General features: G+C 33.0%; 1 long non-coding RNA gene across 2 annotated transcripts; it reads left to right on the top strand.

The window, feature by feature from the left end:
* The first annotated feature begins 222 nt into the window (after positions 1–222).
* On the top strand, positions 223–6,069 carry LOC105377672 (uncharacterized). Of its 2 annotated transcripts, none has more exons than NR_188479.1 (4): positions 223–714; positions 2,524–2,650; positions 4,143–4,240; positions 5,659–6,069. It is a non-coding gene; the product is annotated as an uncharacterized LOC105377672 (long non-coding RNA). The 2 variants fall into 2 exon arrangements; NR_188478.1 differs by having other exon boundaries at positions 2,524–2,749.
* Positions 6,070–21,877: the final 15,808 nt, after the last annotated feature.

Below are 21,877 nucleotides of genomic sequence, written 5' to 3'. Positions count from 1 at the left end.
CTAATGGCCTCAGAACTTGTGTACACAAGTATACAATGATTGTCATGGAAACTATTAGCTCATAATAAGCTTTGGATTCTGTTGAATTTCAGAATTTTAGAGATGATAAGATGAATGACTGTTAGAGATGGAAGGGACTCAGAGAGCCTCTGAACTGCTTTCTAAATTCACAGATTGAAAATCTAAAACCCACAGAGTTCAAAGACCTTACTCAAAGTCAAAGAGCTAGTGGGTGGTCAAGCTTACATTAATTCTAGATTTGTCTAGATTGATGGATTCTGCATTCTACCATCTAAGATTAAAATTTGACTGGAAGAATACTCTAGATGTTCAGTCAAAAGCTAAAGGTTAAAATTTGCATGAAATAACTCATGAATTCTATTTCCATTGTTTCAACTGAAAATTATTTGCAAAATAAATGTGCGTGTACATTATAAATTTGATTGGCAATATTGATTTAAAACGGAGGTTATCAATATTTTTTAAGTACAAGGTGTCAGAATTGTATTGAACTCCTAAAAGAATAAACCCAAAATAAGTTTTAAAATATGACCAAAATTTGATATTAAAATCACAGAAAAGAGTAATAGAACCCTGGATTGAGAATAAAAATGACTGTATTCTGCCTTAGAATGTACTCCTTTAAATGAACAGTAATTCCTTGAAGAAGTCTCTGTGCATATCTAAATTTAATTTTCTTCATTGCACACTAAGGTATTTGAATTTAATAATATCTGTGATTCTTCCTAACACTGTGTTCCCATACCTGTTTGATCTTTAATTACTCAGTCCTATTGAAATTTTTCTCTAACAGTAAACCTACTTTTCTGTTTCTTTTATTCTAAATTATTTTACTGTCTATTGTCATATTCACTTTCCTAAACATTTTCATGATAACAGCATTCATCCAGAATTTTTAATGACTGTTTGTTCCATTCTAAATAAAACTCAAATGCATGATCTTGAAATTTAGGACATTTTTCTTTATTTTTTTTCAATAGTGGGCTCATAAACATACTTTCAACCTGTATTAACCACTTCATCTAGTTTAGGAAAATTTAAAAACTATCTATGGATATCAATAGTCATAATTCCATAGGATAAAACTACTCTCTTTTTCCTTTAATGAAAACAAATCATTTATCCCAGTGTATTTTTCCTTATTAAAAACACATACGTTTTTGCATATTTTATATACTGAGTTGTTTGCTTCATTCACCCTTATTATTTCTAGTTTAGTTATATATATATTGATTATATTTTTAACCATTAATAACTAACTTCCTTTTACAGAGAAAACCAGGAAGTAGAAAATTGTCATTTACTAGCATTCTCTAGCAGAGTAACAAATGTATGCATATACTATTTTATAATTAAAGGGGCATATACATTTCCAAAGTATAATTTTTAGATGGCATAAAACTGTTTATTAACAGAACATATATAATCATAGTCTCTGTATTCCATAAGATGTCAAAAGTATGTAATCTTGAACATATGTTAGTAATTAAGTTTCAGTAGTTTACTTTATTTAGAAATGGCCCAGACATTTAATAAATATCTATTACTTAACTTGGCATAGCTTTAGTTACAAGTTATTTTAAAAATTATCTTTAGGCAGACATATGATAACATTAAACAAAGCTAACTCTCATCTCAAGTTATTTCCCTGTTAAGTATTTTATAGCACTTGCACGGTATGCAAAGCATCACAAAAGCATAAACCTAAAAAGTTAAATACGTGAAGTTTTGTTTATTTTTATTTCTGTGCTTGATATACATGAAGTAATGTATTTCAAGCAGTTCATTTTTATTGTATCTTTACTTGTACATTACTTGTACTTGTACATACATTTGATTGTATCTTTACTTGTACATTTGTTCTTAGGTTGAATTTTTATTTTTAATAATCTTAAACATCTAATAATAGAAATAAACACCTTAATTAACTAGTAAATCCAGGTAGAATAAAAATATATGCCAATATTATAATTAATGATGAAATACCAATTTTTATTTAACTAACAATATTGAACTAATTTTATTTATCAAAAGATGTTTACCCAAGTCATGTGAACATGTAGAGCATTTGGATTAGTTTCCATATTCCTGGAAGGCTTAGAAATATTTAATTTAGTACCTGGTTTGGTGGCACACACTTGTATTTCCAGCAACTGGGGAGGCCGAAGCAGCAGAAACACTTGAGCCAAGGAATTTGAGGCTGTAGTGTGCTATGCTATGATCACACCTGTGAAGAGCCACTGCATTCCAGTCTCTAAAATATATGTAAGAAGTCTTGGGGTTTTTTTTAATGATTAAGGACATGATAAAAGTGAACATAACACATGGGATATTAATTTGATAAGACACAAGATTGTGGTTTCCTAGGCAGATTATTGAAAAGGTAAAGAAAAACATTTTACTATCTCTTATTAAAAGCAGACTAATAATCTTAAAAAAAAGTAATATGTAAGAAAACAAAATATCCAGTTTGTTTCTAATTAACCTTTTTTTTCTTTTCAGCTTCTGATAGTTGCTTTTGGGGATCGATGAATCGCTTGAGAATCTCTGATTGGGCAAAAGGCCTAAGTGTCTATAAGAAGCTGAGGAGCTGGAGTGGGAGCAGAAACGTCTGGCAGGGTGAATGGAGGTGAGGAAGAGGCAGAGGACTGAAGGAGGATATAGCAAAGGATGCCAAAAGCCAAATGGAAGATCAAAGGTGGTAAAAAGAAAAGGTGGAAAAGCAGAGGTAATGGTGAGAGAGATCCAAGAGGATTTAGTTTGGGGAGATGTTAAGTTTTCCAAAGGTGCTAAAATAGTTCCAAATGCTCTTTAGTAAAATTATGCCAACAAAAACAAGTGGATAGAGTTGGCAGGGCATATGGTTAGCAAGGATCTGAGAAGGTGATTTCAGTTGATTGAGAAGTTCCATCAGCAGAGCAGGATTAAATAGAGACATCAAAGGGAAAGCCACCACCACCGCCCCCCCCCCCAAAAAAATACTGTTTTCCAGCCCAGAAGTCAGGGATCGAATCCAAATCAAAACAAGGAGCCAGGCAGAAGAACTTGCAGCCCAGGAGGTATCTTTCAAAAGAAGCCTGGGACTGTAACCCAGCTTTCAAGGATATACTCCAAATCCTAAGAATCAAAATCTGTCCCTACCATGGTTCAACAAACTGTCAACCAAGCACTGGCTCAGGAATTAGATGTACTAGTGGATCTAAGATCAATCAGAAATGAAGAAGAAATCTTCAAAGATACACACTTGGGGTCCTGAGTGAAAAGTCCAGGAGTCCAATGATGAGTCTGATTCTATCTGAATCACTGTACCGTAACTATAAAAAATTTATTCATAGCCCTTGTTAAAGATGGGAAAGAGAACTTTATTTAAGAGAGACTACAACAGTGAAGTTTTTCCATAGAGGAGAGAGATTGGGTTCAACTCCAAAAATAACAAGAACAAATGGAGATTTATAGCTAAGAAGATAGGTAGAGGTCACAGAATAAAAAATTACTAAGGTATCATAATGTATAAGGACAATTTTGGCTAAACCTACTTGACAGGAATTTTGCTGAAGACAGCGCAGAGTGATAAGATATCAGGGGTGGGCAATGAGGATTTAATCAGATATCAAGAGTGGATGATTTTTCCCAAACTGACCTGAAAAATTATTGTTAAAACTGGACTAAACAGGCCATGGACAGAGCTCAAGGTTGGAGCTTTGAGGGTTTAGCAGAGTCTGACTAAAGTTATGTCACGGGAAGTCTTTGTCTACACACACACACACACACACACACACACACACACCATATACTATGTTATACATATAAACATACATACACATACATAAATGTATATTATGTTGGGGGAAAGAGGAACTCTCATAGACTTTTGGAGAAATCATTAGAAGATTTAAGTGAGTACTAAGTGGGTAGAGGAACATCAGTAGAATTGCAGATGGGATCAGACAAAGACTGTATAGATGTAGAGGCGAGAGGTGAAATGAAAGCAGGAGACATGTAGGAAATGGGGCTCACCCTGAGATAAGGAGATAAAAGGATTTGTGAGACAAATATGGGTGAATCAAATTGGAGCAACTTATAAGTCACTGTCTCCTCCAAACTCATCCTTTGTTGAACAGCTGGAAGAAGTGGGATTAATCCATATGGTAAAGAAGAAAATATAGATATTTGGACCGAAGAGGTTAAAAAAGTCAATGGATGACACCATTCTCTGAAGGTAAGCTACAAGTATATCTCTTTGAACCCTATGTGCCATAATTTTTAGTAGTCAGAAAATTCAAGCATATACTTTTCATTAGAAAGACTGCTTGACACTTATGGGAAACAACATCAAGAATGAGAACCTACAAAAATAAAACCTAAAAAAAACTTGTTACTCGAAGAAATAATCAATAGGAGTGTTAGGGATGAATGTTTGTGGCCGTCAAAACTTACATGCTGAAATACTAGCCCCAGTGTGATTGTATTAGGAGGCAGGTTGTTTTTTTTTTTTTGAAGGTAAGTAGGTCAGTAGGATAGAATCTCATGAGTAGGATCAATGCTGTTATAAGAAGAGACACAAGAGTTTTCTTTTTTCTCTGATCTCTGCCATATGAGAATACAAAACTTCCATCTGTAAACCAGGAAGTAGACTCACAAAACACACTGGATCTGACATCTTGATCTTCAATTTTCTGGCCTCCAGAACTGTGAGATATAAATACGTGTTGTTAAGCCACTCAGTCTAAGGTAATTTGTCATAGCAGCTCAAACTGAGTATCAAAATAGGGAAAACAGAGGTTTTAGAATAGCTTTATTTAATATTTTCAAGATATTTTAGAATATGTCATATACAACAAATAAATATCTATAGTACTTTTAATTTAAAACGTATATTTAAAGAATAAAAGTCTAATTTATAGACCAAAGAGCAGAACGAACTAAGCTGAGGAGTGCATTGCTGAAGTAGAAGAATGGGCTGTTAAAGGTCCAGGAAGACTAAAAGGATATTATTAACAAAAGAAAAAATAGAGATAGAAAAGGTACATAGAAAAGTACTAAGTGGGATGCTTGACTATAGGCTCTGGAGCCAGACTGCCAGGGATTAATACTGGCTGTCCCTTAATACCTGTGTCAACTCAGGCAAGTAATTTAGCTTCCCTGTTTCTTTCTCACTTTTAGAATAGAGATAATAATAATATCAATAATAATAACCATTCTTTAGTGTTATTATGTGAATAAGTCATTTAATACATGTAAAGTCCTTAGTAATGTGTTTGACATTATTAATTGCTTGGCAAATGTTAGCTAGTATCACTATTGTAAGGATAAAATTATACAATTTTTTTCCCATTCCCCTCAGTGTGTCTCCTTGAAAACATCATAAACTCCAAATTTGTCTGTTCTATTGTGGTTTTTCTTAAAAACTCCCTTAGTTTTACTGAAGTATAATTGACAAATAAAAATTACATATATTTAGAGTATACAACATGATATCTTTATATACATATATACTGTGAAATAATTACCAAAGTCAAGCGAATTACCATTTTTAAAAGATGCCCATCCAGGACCTGATGGCTTCACTGGGGAATTTTACCAAACATTTTGAAAAGATACAATCATTTAAGAATAATACTTCTCAAACTCTTACAGAAAATTAAAGAGGAATCCAAACTCATTGTATGAGGCCAGCATTACGCTGATACCTGATCCACAGAAGGACACTAGAAGAAAAGAAAATCACAGGCTAATTTCCTTGATGAACATAGATGCAAGGATCCTCAACAAAATACCAGCAAACCAAATTCAACAGCACATTAACAGTGTCACACATGAGCAACTGGAATTTATCCCTGGGACGGAAGGATGGTTCAACACTGGCCTATTGTTTTTAAGGCTTTCTGGCTCTGGAAACTGTAAACTCTTGCCTCCAAAATGACCTCAGGAGTCTCCCAGGAATTACAGGAGACTATTCCAAGGTGCAATAATTTATCTCTCAAAGAGATAAAAGTTTAATTTTAATTTTTCTTTCTTCTGCTTTACTGAATTAATTTATGAAAATTCTATCTGGACTTTATAGCCTCTTTTACAGACTGCTTACAATATGCAGTGTACTTTAGATGTGCTTATTCAGTAGTTAAACTCCTTTTACTGTGTCTTATGGAGAGGGCTCCCTCTATCATTTTTTGTTTTCTCAACACTATATAGTCAATATCTATTAAGAGAAGTTCTGAAAGAAAAACACTGAAAGAGGAGGAAAATAATAAAAGGAACAATTAGAGCAATACAACATAAATGCCTATAGCCAAACAACTGAAGGAGTTTTCATATTTAAGGGGCCCCATGAGTATCTCATTAAATGAGTGAAAAACCACTTATACCTAATTTAATTGTTGTGAAATCTCAGAACACTAAGATTTAATATTAAAATCTAAATATTGCCAGAGAGAAAACACACTACAGAGGAACTAGAATCAGAAAATTATCGCAATGTAGAAAATACTAGTTGAGAATAATATAAATAGATCCAATGGAAGAATAAATATGTAATAAATGCATATAAAGTGGCATCCTGAATTGACTTATCAACTCTGTTTCTTAAAAACTAGCAAATTTGTTTTTTTCAAGTTTGAGAAATTTCTTGACGTTGATATGGTCTCAATTTTTCATCTTATTTTGTTCTATGTCTGCTTAAATATTTCAACTATTTCCATCTTTCACATCACTTATTCAATCCACACAGCTCTAGGACAAATTTTTACTTTCTCAAATCATAATATTCATTATTGCTTAAAAAAAGACTCTATAATTGGGCAAAGATAAAGTTTTTAAAAAAAACCTCCATTAATTGATTGCTAAAAAGGCTTTACTTTCTTTCTCTATAAAAATATCCATCTAGAGTGTTTTATTTCCTACCAGACAGTGATTTCCATTTCTATTTGTGCTGTGCTGTAGTAGTTTTTTCTGTGGGTCTCCTGATAATCTGTCATCATATTCCACCTGGTGAAATAATAAGCAATATTTTTCCAGATTGTCTTTCAGTGGGAAAAATAAACTTGAGATAGTTCAGAGCTGAAAATAGATTCCTAATTATATAGAAATATGGGCACCACCATATCTGCTAGAAATTATCACATTTTTCTTTCAGTTGGAAAAGTTCTGGACAATTTTTAACCACTTCAGAGGCATTTTTATGTCACTTGCCCATGTAATTTTAGTGGACACATGTGTCTAGGTCAATGTCCCTTTCTTTAGGGAATCAGCCTTCCTGAATTCCTTATCGTCAAAGTGGATGTGTCAATGGTCATCTCTAACCTTCTCAAAAGGGACACATCTCCATGATCATATGATTAATTCAGGAAAAAATTTTGATTAAAGCCAAGTCGGTTACATAATTTTCTCCTAAGGTTAGAGGAGTAGATGCTCTTCTTCTCATAGGTTACAACGTAGGGAGGATTCTAATCTTGACCATTAATATCAATTTCCTTACTACAACTAAAAAGTGTGATAAAAGAGTTGAATCTACATACAGAGGAAGGGCATAATATAAAGGAAGAAGGTAACAGAAACTTGACTACATTGTTTGAACTCTCAGTATCCAGTTACATCTGAAGCTATTATATCTATAGATTTTTAAAATTAATTCAGATAATCATTCTCCATCCAGCTTTGTTCCGTTGCTGATGAGGAAGTGCGTTCCTTTGGAGGAGGAGAGGCGCTCTGCGTTTTAGAGTTTCCAGTTTTTCTGTTCTGTTTTTTCCCCATCTTTGTGGTTTTATCTACTTTTGGTCTTTGATGATGGTGATGTACAGATGGGTTTTCGGTGTGGATGTCCTTTCTGTTTGTTAGTTTTCCTTCTAACAAACAGGACCCTCAGCTGCAGGTCTGTTGGAATACCCTGCCGTGTGAGGTGTCAGTGTGCCCCTGCTGGGGGGTGCCTCCCAGTTAGGCTGCTCGGGGGTCAGGGGTCAGGGACCCACTTGAGGAGGCAGTCTGCCCGTTCTCAGATCTCCAGCTGCGTGCTGGGAGAACCACTGCTCTCTTCAAAGCTGTCAGACAGGGACATTTAAGTCTGCAGAGGTTACTGCTGTCTTTTTGTTTGTCTGTGCCCTGCCCCCAGAGGACATGGGAGAAAATTTTCGCAACCTACTCATCTGACAAAGGGCTAATATCCAGAATCTACAATGAACTCAAACAAATTTACAAGAAAAAAACAAACAACCCCATCAAAAAGTGGGCGAAGGACATGAACAGACACTTCTCAAAAGAAGACATTTATGCAGCCAAAAAATACATGAAAAAATGCTCATCATCACTGGCCATCAGAGAAATGCAAATCAAAACCACTATGAGATATCATCTCACACCAGTTAGAATGGCAATCATTAAAAAGTCAGGAAACAACAGGTGCTGGAGAGGATGTGGAGAAATAGGAACACTCTTACACTGTTGGTGGGACTGTAAACTAGTTCAACCATTGTGGAAGTCAGTGTGGCGATTCCTCAGGGATCTAGAACTAGAAATACCATTTGACCCAGCCATCCCATGACTGGGTATATACCCAAATGACTATAAATCATGCTGCTATAAAGACACATGCACACGTATGTTTATTGCAGCATTATTCACAATAGCAAAGACTTGGAACCAACCCAAATGTCCAACAATGATAGACTGGATTAAGAAAATGTGGCACATATACACCATAGAATACTATGCAGCCATAAAAAATGATGAGTTCATGTCCTTTGTAGGGACATGGATGAAATTGGAAACCATCATTCTCAGTAAACCATCACAAGAACAAAAAACCAAACACCGCATATTCTCACTCATAGGTGGGAATTGAACAATGAGATCACATGGACACAGGAAGGGGAATATCACACTCTGGGGACTGTGGTGGGGTGGGGGGAGGGGGGAGGGATAGCATTGGGAGATATATCTAATGCTAAATGATGAGTTAATGGGTGCAGCACACCAGCATGGCACATGTATATATATGTAACTAACCTGCACAATGTGCACATGTACCCTAAAACTTAAAGTATAATAATAAAAAAAAAAACTAAAAAAAAAAAAAATTAATTCAGATAATTTTTTTTCACTTGCACCTGAAAGATTCTCAACTAAGAGATATTTTCTTAATTTGACGTAAGACGAGACTAAGGTTAAGAATTTAAGTATCTTTCTCAATGTACACACATGCACATATGCACATACATACACATGTATTTATTCATCAGAAACATTCTTAATCCAAAAAAATGAAAATTGCAGAACATATTGTAAAACAGACATCTTCTTAGGCACATATTTGATGATCCAATTTTATTTTATGAAACAAATATGTAAATAAGTGAATACATAATGTATATGAGCTAAAATTATGGAAATACAATCAAGAGATCATTTGGAATAAATTATTTCCCTTTTCTTCAAAAATCATTTAGTCATTAAGACCATCTGAAAACATTAGTGTCTTAAGATATACTGTGGTACGTTGGATTTTGTTGGATGGTTTCTGAATGGAGTTACTCCGCCACTTATTTTACCATTTACGACACCAGCCCAGTTCCTTAAAATACCAGTTAATCTCTATCATATTTTGCAGTATCAATGAAAATTTATGAGATATGGAATTAAAGAGGCAGAACATCTAGAAATTCACTTAATACCTAACTCAGATAATTTTGGGATAATTTGAGGTGTTTCCTCAGAAGATGCACACACACACACATACATATATATACCTGTGTGTCACATATATATCTGCTCAGATATATCTACTAGGAAAATATAAACCTTCATTTCTTACTCACTGGTTCTTCATTGTAGAGTCTTTAAATATGTGTTTTTGATTTATGGGTTTCAGTTAAGTTCCATGGCTAGTCATCCTCTATATGTTATCAGAAGTAGCCAACTATTTACCTCCCAGCTTCCTTGACAATGACACATAATCCCCTTTCCCCAGTGTATTTACTATGACTAATGCTGTTAAACTGTCTGTAGTCAGCATTACAGATTTTTCTACAGTTTTATACGTGATCTTGAGTGGAAAGTAATGATTTTTTTTCCCAAATTGGCTCCTAAATTTTACAGATGACATGATATTCTTGAAGAATCCACAATTATATGCAGTAGTGGGTAATGTCACATAGAGAACCAAATATCTATTTCTGGATGTGAGAGCTTTTGAAAATATGTTCACAAATTTTTCTGCAATATGTTTTTGTATTTGTTCAAAAATATCCATGCCCCTCTTTGGTTTTATACTTACAGAGTCTCTCCCTAGAGGAGGAGCACACTTCTCACCAAAGTGACTTCAGGATTGGACATGTGACTTGCTTTAGAAAAGGAAATATGCACAGGAGTGACATAAGCCACATCTGGGTAAAACTTCCAAGAGACAAAATTAGAAATTTTCCTTTGATTGGGACCCTAAAAGATAAAGGTGGTGATATGGTTTGACTGTGTCCTGCCCAAATCTCATTTTGAGTTGTAGTTTCCATGATCCCCACATGTCATGGGAGGGACCCAGTGAGAAGTAATTGAATCATGGGGGCGGTTACCCCCATGATGCTGTTCTCATGATAGTGAGTGAGTTCGCATGAGATCTGATGGTTTTACAAGGGGCTCTTCACCCTTTAGCTTGGCACGTCTCCTTGTGGCCACCATATAAAGAAGGATGTGTTTGCTTCCCCTTCCAACATGATTGTAAGTTTCCTGAGGCCTCCTCAGCCATGCTGAACTGTGAGTCAATTAAACCTCTTTCCTTTATAAGTTACCCATTCTCAGGTTTGTCTTCATTAGCAGCATGAAAACAGACAGGTGGTAAGCAGGGCCACATTTGACCATAGCAACATATATATGACCAAGAAATAAAACTAATATTGTGATATTAAGGGATTATTACTGTAGTATAACTACAGAAAGCTCACTAATATACTCACATTATTTATAATTCTAAGTGACTTATTTTAAGTGTCTGACACTTACTTTGGAAATCTCTTAGCCATTATTTCTTTCAATATTTTCTTTATAGCTTTATAAGTAATTATTCTATTGTGAAAATTTTAATTATTCTGGTAATTAATGAAAATTTTGTCTAATTTTAAAAAATGTTCCCATTAGAAGAATCTGGCTGTGATATTCCCTATGATTCCTTTTATGTCTCTTTGAACCTATCCACTTTAAATAAATATTAGAATTAGAAAAATAGTTTTGTATGCTTCTTCTCATTTGGATTGTATTAACTACCCTTATAATTTAGACTAAATTCTAACTAAAATATGCTGAAATTTAACCTAGTTTAACCTCTCATATTAATATTTTTTCTGGTCTATAGATTGTCAAATAAAGGTTTAAGTAAACTTCCCCGTAAACGTATAGATATATGGTTAGTAATTTCCTCAGAAATATTGTTCAAATTGAAGCTAGAATAGTCAAGACAGTTCCTTGGAAAATAAATTTCTTCCATTTTATTTTAGTTATTTCTGTATTTTCCTCTTTGAAGACTATTTTTATTTGTAATGTTATGAGGTTATGAAATTTATAAATCTACATTTTTATTTAAAATTTTCGATAGCTACTTACTGAGCATTTTCTCTTTCTCATGGATTCTACTTGTTCATGGATTTGCAAAAAGATTCCTGAACAGTATGAAAAATAACACATGATTTGGTGATTAACATATTATAATGTTCAGAGGGCAACAAAATCTGTGAAAGTATCAAGAGGCACCTTAATCATGGTGTATTATGTCATCTTTGGCAAGTCACTTAATCTCTAAGTAACTGCTCAGTTTTGTCAAACAGAAATAAAAAGATAATATCTCAGCTTTTTTTCCCACAGAGTTATGAAGCAAAAGCAAGTGAATATACCTATGATACATTTCAACATATGAAAACTGCAAAACAAGTACAAATCATGAGATTAAATATTTTTTCCTCTGGACATTTTTATAGTAACTTATAAAATATATTACATACTACTTTTTTCTTTTTGAAATGCAATTCCAACACAAAGTATAATGGAGAAAGTGGAAACTAGATTATGAAAATGGTTTAAAATCCTGTGTGCATATGTACTCTGCCACACACAATTACTTTTAGTCTACAAAGTATTAGCTTTCTAGAAACTGCCTTATATATTCACAACCCTCATTATCAAATAATGAGAACTAGCACAGCTGTTCATGTCAGCATTAAAATGATTAGGTTCAAATGGGTTTTGCATATGTGAAAGGTAAGAGATTTTTCTCTCATGTTTGCCAAGTTTCTCACTCATCTACCTTCATTTTGTTTGAACTACGTCCATGTTAAGCCATAAAAGGTAAAACTACAGGTTTAATTTCCAACTGCTAGTCCAGATATAATGATTAGAAAAATGTGAAAGGAGTTTCAATTTGTTCTTGGGTTTGCAATATACCCTGATATAAATAATATAAATATTTTAATATACAGCTGATAGATTTTAATCACTCTGTATGCATATATGTTTAATATATATATGACAGATGCATATTTATGCATAAATATATGCACAGATAAACATGGCTATTATTTGTGCATAATACAAGTACATGCACATGCATAAATTATAACTACAGGTTAACTTATATTCTTTTATTCATAGATGCATTATTGTGCAAAACCCTTTTTCCCAAGTAAGAATTTTTTCCTTCTGGCACATATGCCAACAAAAGTTTTTCTCACACTACATTATTTTTTCATTTCTTCCAGAAGGGAACAATAGGCGACCTGCCTAATTGGGAGCTTGTATATCAAAGCTAACTTTAATTCTACAGTACTGCTCTGTGTTCTCAACATTGCTTCAATATTGTTTGTCATTCTCTGGCAGGTTTGAATGACAAGTGCAAAAGCCACCATTTTAAATTTTGTATGAAAAGAGAAAAAGACAGAAAAACTTATAAATAGTTTTTCTTGGTTTCTGTAATAAAGGGGTGCATGCATTTGTGCAGCTCAGTCAAAATCTATAATTAGAATGACATGGATGCATCAATGAGGATTTAGCAAACACCGAGAAGCTGCTAAGTGTAGCTGAAAGCGTTATGAATACCAAATTATTACCCACTATGGTGCCACCTTTAAAGTCACATTTACTGAGGGAAATGTAAACTTGCTGAATGCTATTGAGAAAGAAAACATTATTTCATGCTCCAGGAACTGAAAGTACAGAACATTAATAACCATCTATTTCCAGCTTTAATCCGCGCAATTAAAAAGGTCAGAAGTGTTAATGTTGATAAAGGTCTTTTAGAAAGAGAAGTACTAGATGAGACCCTAATTATTCACCATCATCAAGCAAAGTCGTGACAGCAATTACCACGCCGTCATGAAATAAGTATCTCAGAGGATTCCCAAGAGCGGAAGCACATTTTATACAACCAATCACACGTTATATTATTAAAGATGCAATGATAAAGGTACATTTTATACATCTAACACAAAAAATTATGCTCCGATAGGTAAAATGTGCTACGCAGATTGAATATTTTCAGTCATAATTATGTTAAATAGAAGCTCATACAATTTTTTACTATCAATGTGTCCTCTCAAACAATGCTCTCTGCTCAGAGAGCAATATTTGCCCAAACAGATATTTGATTTTAGCTCATTATTATTATAATATTTTGGAGATTAACTGAAAGACTCAGGATTAATGTAGAATTTTGGCTCCAAATAAATATTTAAATTAGAAAAGGAAAGTAAATACTGAAATGTTAAAATAAAAAATCTAACCCACAGATGGTGAATGAATCTAGAAAAGTTAGAATTATGTAATAACCTTTAAAGCTACTTATTAACAATTTCACAGTTTGAAAAGTTCAATAGGAAAATATACTTAGTGATAAACATATTCATTGATTCATCTGTCTGGGGAGTTTCTATTAAGTGTAAGTAAGTGTACTAGCCAGTACGTGTACTATTATTGATGACTTTTATATAGAATATCAATAGCTATATAAAAATATTGTGTAAATTCTTATTAGTTTATTTTACTATTTTACTATTTACTAGTTTACTATTAAACAAATATTTACATTAGCCATTGTGATAACTTCCAGTGATAACAATAAAGACAAATTCTGTGCTATTGAGTAACTCTAGCTCAAGTACATTGCATTCAAATGCATTGCAATATATTAATTGCTTTGTCAGAGTTGTACTGAAGATATTATGAAAGCCTAGAGGCTACCTTACCCTAACTGATCAAAGAACGGCTTTAGAAGTAGAAACAGTCAACATGATTCTGAAGAATTAAATAGGAAACCTCCAGCATACAGATGGGTAATGCATTTCAAGTGAAGGGAAAATCAGGCCAGAAGTGTCAAAGTTTATGGAATAGTCAGACATATAGGGAGTATGATGTCTACAGAGGAGTTTAAGTTTAATGTTTCATGATTGAGGATCATGGAATATGAGATCATAGAGGTCGGACAGGTTAAGTTAGTATGAAACTGTCAGATTTATGTTAACTTAAGAGGTTAAAGTATAATTTATATGCAGCAACAAGTATCTAAGTATATAATTTAAGAATTTTCAGTAAATTTAAAGATTTCTGCAATCATCATTAAAATCAGGTTTTAGAACATTTTCATCATGCTCTGAAGTATTTCTGTGTTCCTTTGCATTTAAGTCTTATTCCCACCAAGCCTAAGCAAACATTGACAGACTTTCTTTTTTCTTTTTTTTGATAGATATTCTATCTCTATACATCTAACTTTTAAGAAAATTTCAAATAAATTACATCACGTATTATGTAGTATTTTTAATCAGGCTTTTTTCACAAAGCCACTTTTGAGATTCTTCTATGTTGTAGCATCTGTCAGTTTGTTCTTTATTGTTCTATAGAATTCCATTGCATGGATGTATGGATTTTATTTATCCGTTTACTTTTTGATGAACATTTGGATTGCTACAAAGTTTTGTCAAGACAAGATGAATAATTTCTTCAGAGAAGTGGAAACTTACAGTTCCACTATAAGTGAAATCGAACTTAATTGCTAAAAATAAGGCAAGAAAACTACTAACATAATTAAAGAATTATTTTAATGAAACCGTTAATAGATTCAACATAGTTGAGGAAATAATCAGTAACTTGAATATAGGTAAATAAAAATTACCACACATGCAATGCATATAGAAAGTTTCTTTAAAAATTCCAAAAAGGATGACACAATATAAAAAAGATTAATATGTGTGTAACTGGAACTGGGAAAAGACAGGAAAAATGTGGAGGAAGAAACATTTAAAGAAATAACAGCCAAGAAATTTCTAAACTTAGTGTCAGTTAATTATAAGACATTTTACCTAATGAGTATTACCTAATATAATGCAAGGAAAATAGCACTTCTGTTGTATTCTCCCCCAAATTTCTAACTCCAACAACAAGATAAGAAATTGTCAGATGGAACCATATTTGGGGACATTCTATAAAATGCTCAACGAATAATTCTTCAAAACTAACGAGGTTATAAAAAATAAAGACTGAGAAATTAATGTGTATTGGAACACTAAAGGGACATGACAAATAAATGCAATGTAATATTCAGGATTAAATCTTGGCACAATAATAAAAACCCTGGAAGACATCCTCAGCAATACCATTCAGGACAAGGAATGGGCAAAGATTTCATAATGAAGATGGCAAAAGCAATTAAAATCAAAACAAAACATTGACAAATAGGACCTAATTAAACTAAGGAACTTCTGCACAACAAAAGAAACTATCAATAGAGTAAACAGACAAGTTATGGAATGGAAGAAAATTTTTGCAAACTATGTATCCAACAAAGGTCTAATGTCCGGCATCTATAAGGAACTAAAAAAAAAAAATAAAAAGAAAAACACAAACAACCCCATTAAAAAGTGGGTAAAGGACATGAACGGAAACTTTTCAAAAGAAGACATACATGGAGCCAACATTCATATGAAAACAAACTCAACACCAGTGATCATTAGGGATATGCAAATCAAAATCACCATGAGATACCATCTCACACCAGTCAGAATGGCTATTATTAAAAGTCAAAAAATAACAGATGCTGGCTAAGTTGTGGAGAAAAAGGAATACTTTTTACTGTTTGTGGGAGTGTAAATTAGTTAAACCATTGTGTAAGACAGTGTGGCAATTTCTCGAAGATCTAAAAGCAGAACTCCCATTTGACCCAGGAATCCCGTTACTGTATATATACCTAAAGGAATATAAATCATTCTATTATAAAGACACATGCATGCGTATGTTCAGTAGAGCATATTCACAATAGCAAGGGCGGAATCAATCTAAATGCCCATCAATGATAGACTGGATTAAAAAACTGTAGTACATTTACACCGTGGAATACTATTCAGCCATAAGGAAGAATGAGATCATGTCCTTTGCAGGGACATGGATGGAGCTGGAGGCAATTATCCTTAGCAAACTTATGCGGGAACAGAAAATAAAAAACTGCAGACTCTTACTTATAACCCGGAGCTAAATAATGAGAACACGTGGACACAGAGGAGAACAACACACACTGGGGCCTATAGAGGATGGAAGGTGAGAGGAGGAAGAGGATCAGGAAAAATAACTCATGGATACAAGGCTTAATACCTGGATGATGAAATAACCTGTACAACAAACCTGCATGACACAAGTTTACCTATGTAACAAACCTTCATATGTACCCCTGAACTTAAAAGTTAAAAGAAAGAAAAAAAAAATGAAAACACTGGGAAAATTTGAATAAAATCTTTAACCAGTAGCATTTCACTAATGTTAATTTCTTAATTGTGATAAATACACCATGGTTATGTCAGATGATAATTTCTGAGAAAACTGGGTGAAATGTATAATAAATCTTCCTATACTGTCTTTGCAACATTTTTTAAACCTGAAATTGCTCCAAAATAAAATATTAAGAAGAGCATTAAAAAATAAACTTGGATATAAAAATATACAACCATACCTAAAACAGAAGTGCAAGAAATATGTAATTCTGTAAGCTATATATATTTTAAAAATCCATACTTTATTTTTATACTTTTCTGTTCTAATGGATGATACTTATAAGATATAATTGATTTAAATTGAAAATGTTCTTTGTGTAGATTTTAATTTAATATTCATGATGACACTAAGGTAAGTGTGAATCAACCTAGGTTCCATCAGTGATGGATTAGGGAAAGAAAATATATACATAGACACCGTGGAATACAACACAACCATGAAAAAGAGTGAAATCATGTCCTTTGCAGCAACATGGATATAGCTGGAAACCATTCTCTTAAACAAATTAACGCAGGAAAAGGAAACCAAATACCACATGTTCTCATTTCAAGTGGGACCTAAGCATTGTGTACTCACGAACATAAGAATGGCAGTAATAGACACTGGGGACTTCTCGAGGGAGAACAGAGGGGCTAAGTTTGAAAAGCTAACTATTGGGTACTACACTAACTACCTGGGTACAGGATCATGTGTACCTCAATCCTCAGCAACATACAATATACCCACGTAACAAACCTTCATGTGTACCTCCAAAATCTAAGGTAAATGTTGAAGTTATTTTTAAAAAGCATGCATCAAAAGCTATTGCCATTATTATAAAACATATTAAAAAATTTTTAAAAAGATTTAGTTAGATAATAGCTAGAAGTTAAATAAATGGATTATCATATGGAAAAAGATAAAAATATAAGTGAATTACAATTGGAAAATATATTGTAATATTATACATATTACTTTATTTATATTAAATAAACATTGTGATTATATTAGCAAAATACTTTGATTAGTCAAATGGAATGATACAATTTTATCACACATATACATATCCTCAAGAAATACTGCAAAAATATATTTAAATAATAAAAAGATTTATTGAACAGAAAAATAGTTACAAAAATCTGTTAACTGAAAATGCTTTTCTAGAACAATTAATGTAAATATAATTTTATGTTTATATGTGTATAAATAAACCCTATATCAATACTAATTTTTATTTAATAGTAAAGACATTTTGAATGTTAAAAGAACATTTATATTGAGTGCATCCTTAGGTTTAGTTCTCATTTGTAGTTTTCCATGCACTATTTGTTTTTGCGCATGTGTAATATTTTAAATAATTTTTATGTATCATAGACTACGTTGACATATTCTTAAACTATTATCTCTGCTCTCTTCTTGCTGCCACATCATACTGTGAAAAATTATCTTTTTTTCAATGAAATTCAGCAGGATGTATGTGAATGAGTAGATATATGGAATGCTTGGGGGAAAAAAATTTATGAAGATGATAAGTGAAATGTGTGTTTGTCCAAATATTCCTCACATTCACTGCTTCATATTTACCCTTTTTAAATTTATTGAAAAAAAGACAATTGCAGTATACCAGGAAATAAGTAACAAAGTTTATTTATCAAGCAGGAGTATCCCATTGTACTTCTTTACAACAAAACTCTTTGGATACCTCTCTTCTAAATCAGAATATGAAAGTAATTCTATCATCTGTCCTTTCCATCTATCCAGTTTTAAAAGATTTTTGTAAACACATACACCACACAAACATACACACACACACACACACACATTTCTCCATAGCTCTCTGGGATTACAGCACCCATTGTCTCTGCTGTTCGTCTTGTAGCAATTTGTAATATTTCTTTTGCTGAAACTTTATATTTCATTATCGTTGTTTTGATTTCCATGTGATGTTGCCTCCACACAACACTATTAACAGTACAATAGCTCAAAATATATTTATGTGGTGGAGTGAAAATATCATTTAAGGCACAAGTAGTTGCTGCAGAATATATAACACAATGCAATACTGTTAATTAGAATGTGATGCATATGTGTACATTATTGGTGATTATAGTATATGCCAACTATGAAAATGTAATCAGTTAATAAAGATAAATTGTTTGCATACCATTGCAAGACATTGACAAAAGATTTTAGCAATAATGCAATGCTAGCATTTTTTGGACCTTATCTTTTTTCTGCATACCTAAAATTTTATTTAAACCATTCAGCATTCAGGAATTATTTGGTTGGCACAATAGTAATTGTGGTTTTGCCATTAAAGCATGGTAAAAACTGCAGCAACTTTGGCACAAACCTAATATCTTCATTAGAACGTTTCTTCCAAAAATACATGATGGGGAAGCATAAAATACAGTCTTCTCATTTCAGCTCTAACATGTAAGAAGTATTCACTATCATCCCTATAACAAGAAAAAAGCTGAACAAACTGTAAATCCACAACTTTATTTGGACTCATCAGAGAACTGAGTTTGCAGGACAGATTGCCATCTGAATTGCAAAGAGACAGGTAAATTTAAAGAGTCCCAGCTAAAAATTGCTTTACTTGAGCAGAGGTCACTAGAGCCATAAACTCTTAGAAATACGTAAATGGTAAAGTTGATGAATTGCTGGAGGCTAGATATAGACTGGCATAAGAGGGAGGAAATTCTGAGTGTGGCTGTCATAGGGGAGCCCTCACATTTTCACAGATTTTACTTGTAAGAACCCCACTAGGTTCTCATGATAAAGAGCCAAGAAATACACCCTCATCCCTCTATATGAGCAAGGAAAAAATTAAGCATGATAAAATATATCTAGAGTGTTCTCCGTAAGAAAGAATTACTTTTTAGGGAAAAAAAGTATTTATCAGAGCCTTCTATCAGCTGAGAGAAGAGAAATGCCCCCACTGCAGACCGCTTGTCTTCATGCTTCACCTAAGGAGGAAAATAAGGTAAGCAATATCTGTAAATGTCATAGCCCAAGGGCAGGAATCCACTAAAAGCCTGAGATTTAATTATACACCCCATCTCCACTTTACTGCCATACCAATAAGAGCTCCAGCATAATAATAGTGAATTCCAGCTGAAATAGCTTTAAAAGGCAGACTCTGAGTAACAATTCTTGAGAAACCCCAAAGACAATAGAAGAGACAAAAACAAGGACACCAGAGAAATGTTCAGCCTCTAGCAGCTGCAGCAACAACAAACATTGAACACTTCTTCACTCCTAGATGGATTAACATAAAAGCTGACACTGAAGGCCTATTGACTTCACTTTCTGTTCCCTGACACACCATGTCTGGCTTTCCAGAAAAAAATTACAAGGCATGCTAAAATGCATAATAATAACATAAAGGGTAAAAACATGCCTCAGGACTGGACTCAAATATTATCACAATTTGGAATTATAAGACAAATAATTTTAAATAACTACCATTAATATGTTAAGGGCTCTAATAAAAAAGGTAAACAACGTGCAAGAACAAATAGGTAAAATAAGCCAAGAGATAGAAACCCTAAAAAAGTAGGAAATACAGAAAACAAAACAAACAAAAAACTGGAAAAGAAATAAATAATGTTATTGATGGACCCCTTAGTCGACTGGCACAGCTAAAGAAAAAATTAGAAACCTTGAAGTTAGAGCAATAGAAACTCCCTGAGTTGAAATGCAGATGAGATTAATAGTAATAATAAAAACCCAGAAAATCATAGAATTGTAGTACTATTTCACTAGATAACAGTCAATAGGCAGAAAACCAAAGGAGAAAATCTTGACAATAACAGAGACAAATGTAAAAAAAGTGCAGAGGTCTTGGATAACATGAACATGAATAAAATATAAAAGTTCTTGAAAAACCTAAATTTAGTCAAAGAAATTGCCAAATCTACATTGTCAGAGAAAATTAGAGATAGATATATGTCTGGGCTACACTTGCTCTGCTTAATTCAACAATAAATCAACCAATGACCAGTTTTAAATGTTACCCTCTCCAGTATCAGAAATCAAAAGACTACAGCAGCATTCTCAGTTCCAAGCTATGCCTTTTTGTTATTGATTTCAGGAATATCCTGAAAGATTTGAACTATATTATAATGTTATTCTTGCATCCCTGACATCATCATCAAAAACAGCAAATCTATAAGTCATGTGATAGATCACATATATTAAATAAAACCCAAAGAGTTTATTCTAAATTACTATTTAACCATTTATTTAAACCATTACAAGCTTGCTAAATTTATATGTGAAAAAAAGAAAATGTTGGACTCTATTTTGTGGTCTATTCTGAAATCTATGATAAAATAAATGCATATCTGCTTTAATAGCACAGGTGTCATGAATATGTCATCTAAATGACTGCATCAAGATTAGAAGGAATGATAAATACTACTGTTGAGAGCTATAAATTTCTAGCATACTTTGTGAGCAATTATGAAGAGTCTAGAATAAAATTCTTCCTTGTTAGAATTATTATTTTGAGCTCTTGAACTTTAACCCTTGAATTTTTTTGGACAATATGTTTTGAATTCTGAGTACGAATTTCTTCCTGGGTCCAATTTACTATTTCTGACAGGTAGTTCTCATGTATACATCTATTGACTGAGCAGTCCTCATTAACCAAGCAGTAGTTTATTATTTTATGTAATTTTTCCATGCTATCTTGAGAGGAAATTGAATGCGTTAGATAATCTATTTTTATTCTCTCTGGAAAATGCATGTGAAAGTACAGTTTCTATATAATGCCATTTCATTGGAATTTAAACCCAGTAAGTAGCTATGATAAATACACTTTTATTCTCACACTGACTGCGAAACCACAAAAATATGATTTGCTAATTAAATACATACTGAAGAGCCTCATTCATAAATGATTCATTTCAATAAGAAGTTTTGGGTTCATTTTTGTTGTCACATATTGCAGGGTTTATTTCTTTGTTAAGATTGAATAGCATGTCATCGCATGTTCATACTACATTATATTTACCCATTCTTCTGTAGCTCGTCCTTGATGTTGTTTCTATAGCTTGGCTATTGTGATAGCACTGCAATAAACATG

The sequence above is a fragment of the Homo sapiens genome, chromosome 4 (genome assembly GCF_000001405.40).
Source record: "Homo sapiens chromosome 4, GRCh38.p14 Primary Assembly".
NCBI classification, from domain to species: Eukaryota; Metazoa; Chordata; class Mammalia; order Primates; family Hominidae; genus Homo; species Homo sapiens.
Note: the sequence above shows the minus strand (reverse complement) of the source record. Positions and strands in the feature narration are given on the sequence as shown.